The sequence below is a fragment of the Homo sapiens genome, chromosome 15, assembly GCF_000001405.40.
Source record: "Homo sapiens chromosome 15, GRCh38.p14 Primary Assembly".
Classification (NCBI taxonomy): Eukaryota; Metazoa; Chordata; class Mammalia; order Primates; family Hominidae; genus Homo; species Homo sapiens.
In genome coordinates this window covers 26,549,012-26,564,011 of record NC_000015.10, presented here as the reverse complement: position 1 = coordinate 26,564,011, position 15,000 = coordinate 26,549,012, and the positions used below count along the sequence as shown (strand labels likewise).

At 43.3% G+C, this 15,000-nt stretch overlaps 1 protein-coding gene across 6 annotated transcripts in view; it reads left to right on the top strand.

Moving 5' to 3' along the window:
* Positions 1–15,000, top strand: part of GABRB3 (gamma-aminobutyric acid type A receptor subunit beta3) — a 230,212-nt gene that overhangs the window by 209,752 nt on the left and 5,460 nt on the right. For all 6 annotated transcript variants that reach the window (NM_021912.5, NM_000814.6, NM_001278631.2 and 3 more), the window contains one exon: positions 2,836–3,080. In NM_021912.5, coding sequence (NP_068712.1) covers positions 2,836–3,080 — 245 coding nt within the window. The remainder of the gene's footprint in view (positions 1–2,835; positions 3,081–15,000) is intronic.

Here is a 15,000-nt window from a genome sequence, read left to right as displayed (position 1 = left end):
AACGTATACTGATAAAATTTAGGCCAGATTATTTTTATCATGAGGAGGAGAAACAAAATATTTTGACTAAATAATGCAAAGAAATTATATTTTTATTTCATATTCATTTTTATAAATACAGCTTTCAAATACAATATTTCATACATAATCTAAATGACAAATAAGTTGAGGCTAGCAATTTACAGAAAGACTTACAAGCCTGGTGAACGTACAAAAAAACACGAAAGCCACCACCCAGCCATTTCCTGTACTGCAGCTGGATGATTTCCCTTTAGAGAGCAGAAGGTCAAGGCAAGGCCAGGAAGCCTAGAGGCTACCGAAGAATGATTTTTCTGTAATGATGATAGTCATATGATTATTTGTTGTTAGTGTTAACAGTGCCGGTTACTATTTATTGGCACATCAGAGCTTTTCAGCCATTGCCATTAGATTTCCAACAGCTCGAAATGATGGCTACAGACCCACAGAGGCAGAGCTGGGCTTTGGGTCTGGGCCATGTGGCTCCCCTTTACAGGCTGTGGACCACCACAACACACCACCATCCACAGTATCCCCCATAGCAGGTAAAGCAATAGAAGGACTTAGTAAATGCATTGGCCTCTTAAGCTAAGAACTCATGTGGCATGTGGGTCCAAACTAGAAAGACCTGAAGTACTCACTGTGAAATCTTATTGTTAGGGATTCCTGAGCCTGTGCCAATCAGCCTGGATCCAGGGTCCTAGCCCAGGTCCCTCTGGGGTTCATTTACCAGGCTGAGTGCCTGTGAGATGTGCTGGCTGTACCTATTCCTGTGTGCCTTCAGCCCATTGTCTGGGACATCTGCCGAGGCCTGTGTCATACATGTCCATTCAAAATAGCCAGCAGGAGAGGCAAAGTCGTGACTAAAGCAAAGCGCTCGGTCTTCCCAAATCCAAGTTGAAGGGGGAGAGACGGTAGTGGCAACAACATTACAAACTTTTTGAATAATGGTGAGAATGCCTAATTTTGTAGCATTTATGTGGTGTTTTCACATTTATTTGTAAACAGTAATTATCCCATTGCCATTTTCAAATTTAAAAAGTCCCCAGGTGCACATGAATGTGATGTTAAAAGAGAATCTTAAAATATTCTGACATCTTGGATTTCCATACATTCCGTCAGCAACCATGGTTTGCAGTTCTACATAAAAAGAGTTTCTCAAGTCTTCAGTTCTCTTCTTAGCTTTTAGTAGCAGTTCAGAGCTCAGTGGAGGGAGCGCTTGTGTTGGAGATGGAAGACTGGGCTGTCTAGCTTGCTCTCCAGCTGATTCCCAGGCCAGCTGAGCTCTGCAGTCTCAAGGTTCTCCCTGTGGGACACAGAGGATGAGGATGCTGCCTCCCAGGATAGGATGGGAAATCAGAGGGCATGAAATTGGAATGCTTAGTAAATTCAAACTCTGCCCTGGAGGGCTGGGCTGGGACCATGTGCAGAATGGCCTGGGCTCCGTCCCAGAGTACATATCTGGACAGTGCTGAAATGTAGGGCTGGCACTACCTCTTGGCCTCAGTGATGTCATGTGGGTTTTGGGTTACTGAGGATGAAGGATTATGGTTAAGCTCTCTCCTTTGAAAGTCTCCTTTTTCAGGGAAGCCTGACAAAGCAATGCGGAGGAACCTATTCTCTTTATTGGGTCCTGAAACCCACATCTTCACATTCAGTGGCATCAGTGGCATACGTAGAAAAGAGCTCAGCCCTCAAAGCTGTCTTGCTTCCTTGAGACATATTAATATGTCAAAAATACAGTCTCCAAGAGAGCGCGTCAGCTGCAGTACTACCATCCCACCCTACCACAAGGGAGTGATCCGTGCCTTTCCTGTAAGCGCAGCGTAACTTAACTCCACAAGCTCTGGGCATGTCACTGACTTGCCTCCTGGTGTCTATGGCCTCAGATGATTCAGTGCAGAATCTTATGTCTATTGCTATGGGAGGGAGAATTGCAATACATGGTCCACACATGGTTTTAGACTAAATTGAGCTCTATTTGGGAAACAATGAGATCATCCATACAATACTATGTAAAGAATTCAACATAACGACATTTAAAAAAAGGATCTGATGAGTTGCGCCAGAGTATGGTGGGATTCTATAAGATGAATGAAATCATTAACCCTTAACTTGAGCAAACATTTCCTAAGCAGCTTGTGTACAGATTCTTTCTTAGTTGAGGAGGGAAGTCGCTCTCTGAGATCATCTTCCCTCAGAAGCTTCACTCAGCTATTTCTTTCTCTTTGAGCTCAGGACTGGATCTCATGGCTAATAATTTTAAAAATCATTGCCTCATTCCTCTTGCTTCCAATAAGCATTGTAGTAGGAATTATTTTCTTCTCACAGGCTGCCTCACTGAGCTCTCGCTCATAGCCTTGCCTCTGCAGCCACAGACACCTCAAATTCATTCTTTTTCCTGGAGGTTTCTCATCTAGACACTTTGTGCTTTATGCTAAATTCTGGGCTTATTTTTATTTTTTCCAGCATTCATAAAAACCACATTCTTTTTTCCTGCTCTACATATCTCTTCTTCTACTCTCAAAATTCCATCGTGTGTGATAGCAAGGTGTAGTGGGCAGGGGGGTGGGTGGGGGAGGGAGATGCCCTGCACGGCTTCACTTCCCCAGAGTACAGATGTCAGCTTGCTGTTCTGAGTGGTGACGTGCGGTGCAAATGACAAGATGTATGCTCTGTTGCATTCCAGTCACCCCACAGTATTCAACCCCTTATCTCTGACTACTTAAAGCTGTTTGAGAAAACATAAAAGGAAAGTGAAAAGTGAAGACCAATGTGGCAAAGTTTCAGCCTCTCACCACTTTGTTTCTTTTCTAGGGATCACAACTGTGCTGACAATGACAACCATCAACACCCACCTTCGGGAGACCTTGCCCAAAATCCCCTATGTCAAAGCCATTGACATGTACCTTATGGGCTGCTTCGTCTTTGTGTTCCTGGCCCTTCTGGAGTATGCCTTTGTCAACTACATTTTCTTTGGAAGAGGCCCTCAAAGGCAGAAGAAGCTTGCAGAAAAGACAGCCAAGGCAAAGAATGACCGTTCAAAGAGCGAAAGCAACCGGGTAGGCTCTCCACCACCTTGACCCCACCTGGTCCCTGCAGCTCAGCAGCTACTGCATTTACTTGCATGATATTTCTTTGTTTTTTCCCCAGTAGTGTATGTCAAGCCACACACCCTTCTTGTACTTGTGATATAGCCCTTATGACATGGCACCCAGGTGTTTTTTATTCAGGGGTTGCTCAAACCAGTCCAGTGGAGTCCTGGCCATCTAGCTAGGACTGGCCAGAGTTCACTGAAACCAGTGGTTGTAGGCTTACACAAAGAGGACTGTTGGATTGGCCAACAAAATTGACTTTTGACATTTCCGTGCACATTGACCCTGGCCCGGTTGCTTTTTGCCCAGGTAAAGCATGCCCAACAGTCACTTTCATTACTCCAGTCTACCCTCAGGGCACAGACCTAGGCTTTCTTCCTCTCACCAGTAAGCCCCTTAAAACAGCGTCTATCTGGATGGGCAGCCTATTGAGAAGTGGAGTGCATTCTTGAATTTGGGTGAGGGCATTTGGACTGGGGCTGGTTAATCTCTGGCCTGGTGTTGAACACAAGGGAGAGGGTCAACATGGAGCTGGCAATGAAAGACTCCCTTGCCCTTTCTGAATTCTCCACTTACAGAAGTGAGTAACAGGGCCTAATGGTTTTTTAAATATACTTGCATCAGCTTTGTGTAGGACTTGGGCAGGCTTGATGATCATAATCTGAAATATTTCCTTGTGCATGTCACAGGGTTTCCTATAAAACCAATATTAGTGTTGATGCTGGAGAAGCCAAAATCATCTATAGTTTCCTACAAAGAGAACAAAACCTGTGGGTCTGGAAAGAATGAAACGCTGGGGTGGAGAGTGTGAATTTGTTCTACGGAAGCATTTTTCCAAAATGTTTCAATATTCCTTTAGTTGTAAAATTATCAATTTGATGATCCAGCATGCTGCCATTCTTTGCACTGGAGCAGGCACACCATCTTTTGTCCACCTGCCCAGTGGCCACAGTCTTCTAGAGAAAAAGCAAAGTCCAAAAGGAATGCACAAGGCAGGAGCAGTGCTCTTTCTGGAAGCTCTCATAGATCTGCCGTGGCCCTGGCCCCTCCCGGTTGTGTTCTGCAAAAAGCCAGGGTTGGGCAGACCTAGACACTTTGTTTTATGAAGTCCATGAACTTTCTAAAGCCCTTGCACACCCTCCTCCAGCCCAGCCCAACTCAGCAATGCTGTTACATCCTTCCAACCACAAAGCCACTTTATCTTTAGATGTCATTTCAGCTTATATAAAAGCAGTATGTTATTGTGATTATAAACAACATTTGAATGAAAGCACATTATAGTTCCAATATAATTTTTAAAATTTATCTTTCCACCTCTTCTATCCCCTCAAATCCTCAAGTATATATTTCTACCTGTTTACATGTTGGGTTTCTTCCCACATTTTTTTTTTAATTCTTCTTGTTAAACTTACTGTTAGGCCATTGTTCTGTTGCTATAAAGGAATACCTGAGACTGGGAAATTTACAAAGAAAAGAGGTTTAATTGGTTCACAGTTCTGCAGGTTTTACAGGAAGCATGGCAATAATGTCTGCCCGGCTTTTGAGGTGGTTTCAGGAAGCTCACAATCATGGTGGAAGTCAAAGCAGGAGCTGCAGGCAACTTACATGGCAAAAGTAGGAACAAGGAGGAGGGGAAGATGCCACATACTTTGAAACAGCCAGATCATCTCATGAGAAGTCACTGACTATCACAGACAGCACCAAAGGGATGGTGCTCAACAATTCATGAGGAATCTGTGTCCCCACCCAAATCTCACGTCAAATTGTAATCCCCAGTGTTGGAGGTGGGGCCTGGTGGGAGATGATTGGATCATGAGGGCGGTTTATCATGAATGGTTTAATACCACAATACCACCCTGCCTGGTTCTGTCCTCGTGAGATGTGCCTGCTCCCCCTTTACCTTCTGCCATGATTATAAGTTTCCTGGGGCTTCCCCAGAAGCCAAGAGGTGCCAGCACCATGCTTCCTGTACAGCTTGCAGAACTGTGATCCAGTTAAACCTCTTTCTTTATAAATTACCCAGTCTCAGGTATTTCTTTCTTTCTTTCTTTTTTTTTTTTGAGATGGAGTTTCGCTCTTGTTGCCCAGGCTGGAGTGTGATGGCGTGATCTTGGCTCACAGGCACCTGCCACCGCGCCCAGCTAATTTTTATATTTTTAGTAGAGACAGGGTTTTGCCATGTTGGCCAGGCTGGTCTCCAACTCCTGACCTCAGATGATCCACCTGCCTTGGCCTCCCAAAGTGCTGGGATTACAGGCGTGAGCCACTGTGCCTGGCCCAGTCTCAGGCATTTCTTTATAGCAATGAGAGAATGGCCTAATACACCTCCCACCAGGCCCCACCTCCAGTACTGGGGATTACAGTTCAACATGAGATTTGGGCAGGGACACAGATCCAAACCATATCACATACTTATTTCTCAAGCCTATGGAGGTTTTCTTGCTCTATCCTGTGCCCTCCATGCCTTTATGGGTCCACACCTCCCAGCGAACACAGTAGCTCCTTGGAGGACTGCCTGTGCCCATAGACCTGGCAGAGGCCCACGAACATTCATGAACCCATGGAAGCACATTAAGTGAATGTAAATGGCTCCTTCCTTTCAGCACAGCATAAATAGAGTTGGTCAGAAAACTGAGGGTCTGTGAATAAAACCAGATTTTTCACAGGCAAAACTATCTTGAATTTCTTAGTGGAAAATATACTTAGTATCATACTGTTATGTTTCTAAATAGGTCCACATCCTACTAGGAACACACAATACACTTTGGTCATGCTGTTTCCAAGGAAACTAGAATTCATCACATCATTATTGTTTCCATCACAGAGGCACACGTATCCACACATACACATACACATACAACGCTGTCTTTCCAAATTTCCTCTTAATTTAAACAGGTTATAAATTTTTTTCTTCTAAATGTGACTGTTTAAAACAGTCAAACTGTGGTGCTGCAGAAATACCTTTATGGGTACGAGGCTTAAAATCTAAGATAAAAAGACAAAAAAACTCTAGCATCCATAGAGAAAATTAGCAGGATGTAGAAAAAGTATATTATAAATTAAATGCAAAAGAAATTTTTCGTTGATTCATGAATCCATGTTTATTGTTTGGTTTTTCAAAAATCTGTTTCTCTGTTTTCTCGGCAATCTTAGTAAGGCCTTTATATGTTTACATGGTTAAGAATCTGTATTGTAGATCGGTACTTAAGGTTTGAAGTCAACGTATGATTATGTGTATGCTAATTCTAAATGCATATTTGATGCTCCTAAAGATAAACATTAAAAATTGTTCCTGAGTACACCTAAGACTTTAGTGATAATGTTTAAGTAGAAATGTAACTCCCAAAAAGTTTATATCAAGTAATGTGGATGAAAGAAAGGAACATGAGAAAAGAATCAAATTTTACGTGAAACAGAAGTGGTACTGTATACACAACCTAACAGCTTCTACAGTTTCTTTTTTTAACTATCATCTTAGCTTCAAGGGTACATGTGCAGGTTTGTTATATGGCTAAAGTGCATGTCACAAGGGTTTGGTGTACCGATTATTTCCTCACCCAGGTAATGAGCATAGTGCCCAAAAGGTAGTTTTTTGATCCTCTTCGTCCTCTCACCCTTCACACTCAAGGGGTCCCTGGTGTCTGCTGTTTCCTTTTTTTCGTCCATTCATACTCAGTGTTTAGCTCCTACTTATAAGTGAGAACATGAGGTATTTGTTTTTCTGCTCCTGTGTTAGTTACCTTAGGATAATGTCCTCCAGCTCCATCCATGTTGTTGCAGAGGACATGATCTTCTTTTTATGGCTGCATAGTATTCCATGGTGTATATGTACCCCACTTTCTTTATCCGGTCCACTGTTCATGGGCATTTAGATTGATACTCTGTCTTTACTATTGTGAATAATGCTGTGATGTGTCAGGGATAGCACCTGGGATTGCATCTCAGTGTGGCCAACAACACCCAGCAGCTTCGCCCTGACTGACAGCTGCTGGCTCCACAGCAGGGACTTGGCTTGTCATTGTCTTTCTTGAGACCACTTTCTGTGTCCTGTAAGGCATCTCAAGAGAAAACAGTACCCTTATGGACACTGTAGGCCACCAGCAACTGCCTCTTGGTACTATGGTTTTAGTGACCCTACTGTAAAACCATGAGTAGGTTTTCCTTATATTTAGTATTTATGCCATATTTTAACCTAATAATTGATTCATGAATGCTTAAGACATTCACATATTCACTTAGTATCTCCCCAGACTAGTGGTACCATGTAAGCCTTGACCTTAATTTATTTGTGCATACCATCTGTTTGTTCCTGAGTTGTTTCTATACCCAAGAGTTCATCTTTGGTTGTAATTCATGCATTATGGTTACAAGCCTTGCGATATTTTACAAGTTGACCAATTAGTATTTGAATTTCATGAGGTGGTAGAGAGTCATAATTCTTGGCAAGGAATCAGAGCTGCAGACTCAACATCATTCTTACTAAAGAGCAAGATTTCATTCTTCACGTGGCAAGTCCTTTCTCATTCTTCTAAAACGACAGTATTTTACTTAACTAGAAGCTGGAAGAAAATTAGAGAATGAGATATCAACTGTGTGCCAATCTGGTGACATATTTTAGGAAAAAACAAAAAATCTCTCTGTGCTATATTCTGAATGAGATGTTTTTAGTCGTTGAATGTTTGCACCTGTCAAGGTTATAGAGCAGGAAGAAAAACTTCATTGAAATCAATGGTTCTAATTATAGTAGATATGAGATGAACCCTTCAAAATAAAGAGTATTCATGAAATGATTTAAAAATTGCAAGTCATCTGTCATTCTATGAAGGGCATTTCAGCCTTGTATTTCACCCACAATCGCTTCTTTCTACTTTAAGACGTAAACTCTAGATGATAGAAAAAGACTTTCTCTTGGAAATATCTGTTTAAGTTATTTGGCTCCTAAGATTTAACAGATTTTTAGTAACCCTTTAGTTCTTTCAGAAAAAAAAATCCATGAGTAATTTTTGTGGAAATTTTCTACATACTGGTTCATGCTTAAATGAAAACCATACAAACATAAAACCATAAATAAAGCAGCCAAACTATTTAACACTAAGATCTTATTAATTCAATATATATTCAGGTTCCTTTTCACACTAGAATGAGAGTTACCTGCACTGTTGTTTCCGTTACAAGTGTTCACCCACTCTGAAATAAGAATAATGTAAAATTGTATTGGTTCTTGAGTTCTTTCTCACATGTGCTATGTCCTAAGACAGCTACCAGTTAGTCATACATGTCCAAAGCCCCCAAGAGCACTGTAGTTTTGTAAATTATTAACAACATAGGTGGGGAGGTGGGTTTGACTTCCCTCAGTCTAAGTTTCCTTCACTAGAGTTCAAGGGCACAGCCTTAGAGACCCACGTTCGTGAGGTCGTCTCCCAAACACAACAGTGGCCACAGCGCTGGGGAAGACAGGACATGGATTCATACAGATTTGTATCTAAATCTTGAAAACTCAAGTCAACATTCATTTTACCCGATGTCTTGTGTCTTCATTCTCCCTGTGCAGTTCCTGAAGTCCCCACCTACATGATGACCCATTCCCCTTCCATTGTCCTGTCCTCTCTACCTAGAATGCCTTTCTTCTTGGTCCACATTTTCCCTCCAAGATCTAAGCCAGATGTTTTCCTCCATGACATTTTCCTTGGTTGTTTTTTGTTTTGTTTTGTTTTTATGACGGAGTCTCGCTCTGTCGCCCAGGCTGGAGTGCAGTGGCGCGATCTCAGCTCACTGCAACCTCTGCCTCCTGGGTTTAAGCGATTCTCCTGCCTCAGCCTCCCAAGTAACTGGGACTACAGGCACCTGCCACCACACCCAGCTAATTTATATATATATATTTTTAGTAGAGACAGGGTTTCATCATGTTGGCCAGGATGATCTTGATCTCCTGACCTCGTGATCCGCCCGCCTCAGCCTCCCAAAGTGCCGGGATTACAGGCGTGAGCCACTGTGCCCAGCCAACAGTTTCCTTGACTTTTTTTGCCTACCACTTATCTGCATCCTGCCCCATCACTCCCTGCTCTAAGCAGTTGGTTTTATTTCTGTTCTCCCAACTTATGGGGCACATGCTTTATACTTGTGAAAATGGCAGATCACTCACGTCCCATGTGCCCAGCAAGCTTTGCCTCCTAGACAGCATCTGACTCTCTGCATCTTCCAAAATATGCACACCCATGACGCGGACGTGGTACACGTGCTCTTGTAACATCTGTCCATGAATGAGTGCTATTTGTCATGGATTTGGTCACACTGGAGAGGTATGTTTTTTCCACTTTCCTAGTGGGAAGAGAGGACAAGGCTTATAAATGTCATCTTTATAAAGCCGGGTAAAACTGAGTCATTAGAATCGTCAAAGTTCATCTGACTAAACAGATTGCAAAATACTCCCCTTTCTTCCTTTAAGAAAAGACATTCCTCCCCTTGGTATTTCACTCCACGAATTTGTTAATTCTGGTCTACTAGATTTTGATAAAAGGAGCTTTTTATATGTTATCACTAGAAAAGAGATGGTATTTAAAACTGTGTTTAGGCCAGGTGCGGTGGCTCAAGCCTGTAATCCCAGCACTTTGGGAGTTGGAGGCGGGAGGATCACTTGAGCCTGGGAATTCCAGATCAGCCTAGGCAACAAAGAGAGACCTTGTTTCTACTATATATATATATATATAGTATATATATATATACTTTATATATATATACTTTATATATATATATACTTTATATATATATATACACACACACTTTATATATATACACACACTTTATACATATATACACTTTATATATATACACACTTTATATATAAATAAATATAAATAAATAAATATATATATATATAAATAGTCAGGTGTCAGCTACTCGGGAGGCTGAGGTAAGAGGATCACTTGAGCCCTGGTATTTGGGGCTGCTGTGAGCTATGGTCACGCCACTGGACTCAAGCCTAGGCAACAGAGCAAGACCCTGTCTCTAAAAAGTAATAATTATCAATGTGTTTAAAAGGCAACATGCAGTATTTTTTCAAATGCACTTGTTGATTATTTAAGGTCTCATCAGTTAGACCCCTTGAGGGTGAGGACCTTCTTGTGTTCACTTTGTGCTCCTGACTAAGGACAGGGCAAGATGGTGACATGTAGCAGCCACATGGTAATGTTTTAATGAATGGTCTCGAACAATCCCAGCCCCTTCGTGGAAGTGCATTCTCCAGTGAGGCATCGCACGTCCTGAAGTGGATGACTGGGCTTTTTTTCATCTCACAGTTTTGTTATTTAAAACATTGCATTGTCTGTAGAGAACATTTTTCTAAAGCTAAATAATGCTTTCTGTTTTTTTCTGTCTTCAGGAAAACGATTTCACTTTTCTGATATCGTAATTCCCAAACCATTTAGTATTATTGAAAAGAACAAATTCTGCGTTACTACGCAGTGGCTCACGCCTGTGATCCTAGCACTTTGGGAGGCCGAGGCAGGAGGATCACAAGGTGAGGAGATGGAGACCATCCTGGCTAACATGGTGAAACCCCGTCTCTACTAAAAATACAAAAAATTTGCCGGGCGCAGTGTTGGGCGCCTGTAGTCCCAGCTACTTGGGAGGCTGAGGCGGGAGAATGGTGTGAACCTGGGAGGCAAAGCTTGCAGTGAGCCGAGATCGCGCCACTGCACTCCAGCCTGGGTGACAGAGCGAGACTCTGTCTCAAAAAAACAAAACAAAACAAAAAACACCTATAAGCATCTTCCACCTTTGATTATCTTCTGACTCAACATCAGATAGATTTTAAACATATAAGCTTACCATTTAAGTAGAACTGTTTAAGATGCTGGACATTCTAATACAATCGAATTGAGCTTATTTGATAAATGACCTCAATTTATCAAATCCCTTTTCATGGTAACCAAATATGCTTTCTCTCATGATTCAAAATCAGACATATTTGGTGGGGTACCAAGCATATTTGTTGCAGTAAATGGAATGAATGGAACACCCCAAATGAACAGGAACACATTGGTTGAACCCCCCTCCCAGGCCCTCTCCACAACAACATTCCCAGTGTGAGCCAGGCAGCTCATTCTCTCCACCCACTTCTTTCCTTTGTGGCACAAGGTACGGTAGAAGATGCTGGAAGGAGATAAAGACCAGTGGACAAGCTTCTGTCCTGGAGAATCTTGCTGTGAATCGTTCTTCTTGCAAAGACCAGCTGGGCTGCCCAGTCAAGCCCTCCTCCCTGCAGCATCCAGGGCAGGTTCAGGTTACCCCTTCTTAGGGATAGTGAATGACTACTCTTGGGCAGGAAGATGTGGCCCTAGCACTCCCACAGCTAGCCCTAGGTGGCCTGCACAAGGGACATGCTACTGCCATGGGCACCTGTTTCAGCCACACCTGAATTTAACTGTTGGGCTTCTCCTGCCATATCCTCTTGGTACAATGAGAAACTCTGTCTCCCAAACCAAGGAATGCTTCCATTGTCTCAAAGACATGCAGACACACTTTGTCATTTAAAGAGTTTTGCTGCTAATCATCCCGTGGAAAGAAAACAGAAAGGACAGATGCATAACAGAAGGCTGGGTGTGGTGGCTCACACTTGTAATCCCAGCACTTTGGGAGGCCGAGGCGGGAGGATCACCTGAGGTCGGGAGTTTGAGACCAGCCTGACCAACATGGAGAAACCCCATCTCTACTAAAAATACAAAATTAGCTGGGTGTGGTGGCACATGCCTGTAATCCCAGCTACTTGGGAGGCTGAGGCAAGGAGAATCGCTTGAACCCAGGAGGAGGAGGTTGCGGTGAGCTGAGATTGTGCCACTGCACTCCTGCCTGGGCAACAAGAGTGAAACTCTATCTCAAAAAAAAAAAAAAAGTCAAAATTTCACCAAGGTCTGACATTCCAGGTGCTTTTGAGATACAAGCTCCATTAGAATTTTCCTTCTGCTGGATAAAAAATATAAGAAAATGCCCTCCTCACCTCCCCACATCACGTGTCTCCATGAAGGGCCTTCTTCCAGCACAGGTGGTGTGATCTCGGTCCATTCCCATCTCCAAGCACTCAGCCTGGCTGTCCTCCATTCTAAGGAGACCACTCCGTCTAGTGGAGGACAGATGAGGTCACTATCTGACAACTTCTAAACCAATGCTGCCTGTAAACTATAAGGAAGACCCCGCGGTGACACTCTTCATCCTATAACTGTAGGATGTAGCATTGGTTTAGAAGCACTGGCACCACCTGGACTCATGGCACACTTGCTGCAGTGTGGACGCTCCTGCTAGGAGCTCACAGGGGACAGGAGTGCATGGGCCGGGGTGGGATTGGAGTGCTGAGTGACTTTCCACTACTTCCCCAGCCCCTGAGCTGCGGAGATTCAGCACTGGGCAGGCGAAGGCCCAGCGTTGCTGCTGTGGGCATGCCGTGTGTGTCTCGAGGCTTAAGGAAAACCTCAAGATATGTTGCAGTGGCCGAGGGAGCAGTTATTCACGGGCTTCAGGCATTTCCATTCCAGACTCCACTAAAGGAAACAGAAACCATTGCAGGGCGCTCTCCCTGGGGCCCCTCTCTGCACTCTCTTCTCAAATTCAATTTCTTATAGCTTGAGTTGCACTTCAGAAGTCTATGACTTTCTACCTAGAAAGTACTCTTCTTCCTGTTTCCTAAAGAGTTAAATTGAAATTCTTTCACATGACATACAAAAAACAAAAACCTCACTGGCCTAAATCTAATCTGTGCTTCCACCCAGCACTAGGTGTACTTTCCTACTATGATAAGAGGATACGAAAGTGATAATGACAGTGATGATGACAGTGACCTCATCTGTCTCAGGCTTAGTATGTGCTGGGAACGGTGTTTGCCTTTCTCAAAATATTTCAGGTGCTCTTCAAGCCTTTGCTTTTGATGTTTTTGCTGCATTTTGTCTGAAAAATTTCTACTCGTTCTTTGAGGCACAATGCAAATGTATCTTCCCTCTCACCTCCTATAGTAGTTTTGATTGCCACTGTAACAGATTACCACAAATTTAGTAGCTTCAAATAAGACCGTGTTTTATCTCATGATTCTGTTAGGCCACACGTGCAGGTACAGTGAGACTTGGCTGGGTCCTTCCCTTAGGGTGTCAGGAGGCTGAAATTAAAGTATTGGCAATCTGTGCTCCTTTCCTTTCTGCAGGCTCTGGGGTTAACTGTGCTTCCAGAATCATTCAGGTGCTTGGTCAAATACAGCTCCCTGTCGTAAACTGAGATCCCCATTGCCTTGGCTGGATCTTATGGTAGTTCTGTTTTTAGTTATTTGAGAAACCTCCATACTGTTTTCCATAATGGCTGTACTAATTTATATTCCCACCAATGGTGTTTAAGAGATCCTATTTCTTGGCTGTCTTGCCAGCACCTGTTATTTTTGTCTTTTTGATAGTAGCCATTCTAACTGCGGTGAGATGATATCTCATGTGGCTTTGATTTGCATTTTCCTGATGAGTGATATTGAGCATTTTTTTCAAGTGCCTGTTGGCCTTTTGTATGTCTTCCTTTAAGACATGTCTATTCAGATCCTTTGTCCACTTTCTAATGGGATTATTTGATTTTGGGCTGTCAGCTGGAGCCCATCTTTGCTCCTATCAGCTGCCTTGTTTCTTCTTATGTTTTCCCTACAGCCTTTCCATCAAGGGTGACTCAAGTCCTCAGTTTTTGAGTTCCTCTGCTTTTATCTCTCTGACTTTTTCTCCTGCTTCCTGTTGGAGAAAGTTCTCTACTTTTGAAGGTGTGATGAGATCGAACCCACCTGGACAATCCAGGGTCATCTTCCTATCTTAGGGTATGTGCCCTTAATGACATGCACAAAGTCACTTTTGCATAGGGTTACATACTCACAGAATCTGGTGAGTATGGTGAGCTTGGTACTGAGCAATGAATGGGCTCACTGCCTGATGTGCTGGAAACCAATACGATGGCACCAGATTTTGAGTAAATAAAAGTTTTATTGCAAGTCAACTGGCAAGGAGATAGGAGGAAATGCTCAAATCTCTTTCCTGGAACTGGGGTTTGGGGCAGGTTTTATAGGCAGAGGGTAATGAGGCGTGTTCTGATTGGATCTTGCAATGAGGTGATGCTGGGAGGTATGGTCTGACTGCATCCTGCCATGGGCTCAATCTGATTGGATGCTGGATCCTGCCATGTGGTGGTTGCTTCTTAACTCTTCAGTCTGAGCACTTAGGTTCCACTCATGGTTGTATGCTTGGTTCATCTGGGCATGCTTAGGTTACATGACCTTCAACCTAGGGGTTCATGGCAACTGAAAATAACTCACCATGTTATTACACAAGGTTGAACCAGACTGGGTTGATCCTGTGGTTACAACCTCCCTGGGGGCCATTACCCTGATGACCACCTCACTTTCCCCAAGCATAATGAAGTGACCCAGAATGGTGTTACCAAACCTGTAGACATCTGAGAGTCCTCTTTGGTGCCTTTCCACCACAGTCTGAGTGGTCCCTGGATGTGTGCAGCCCTTCCTGTGTCACAGCCCCCTTGAAGTCTGAGGCCATCCCACCGGCGGTCTTATCCCTACTTGGAACTCCATACAGGCCCGGCGCCTTCTCAGGCAGGACTCCTCTCACCACCTCACCTCCTGCTTATCTAGCTGGATGCCATTGATGAAATTAAAGTGTATGCAGAAGGCGGGAAGACACAAATTAATACGGCAATAAATTATTCCTACACAAAATAACTGTGTTTTGTGAAAGATTCATGGAGGAAGCCACAGACACTTAATCTATTACAGGAACACGGGGTAGGCTTTCCACAGCCTAAAACAGGACAAAGAAAATGGCCCTCCAGGCAAAGAAAGGGAAGAGAGATAGGGAAGTGTGGGGCT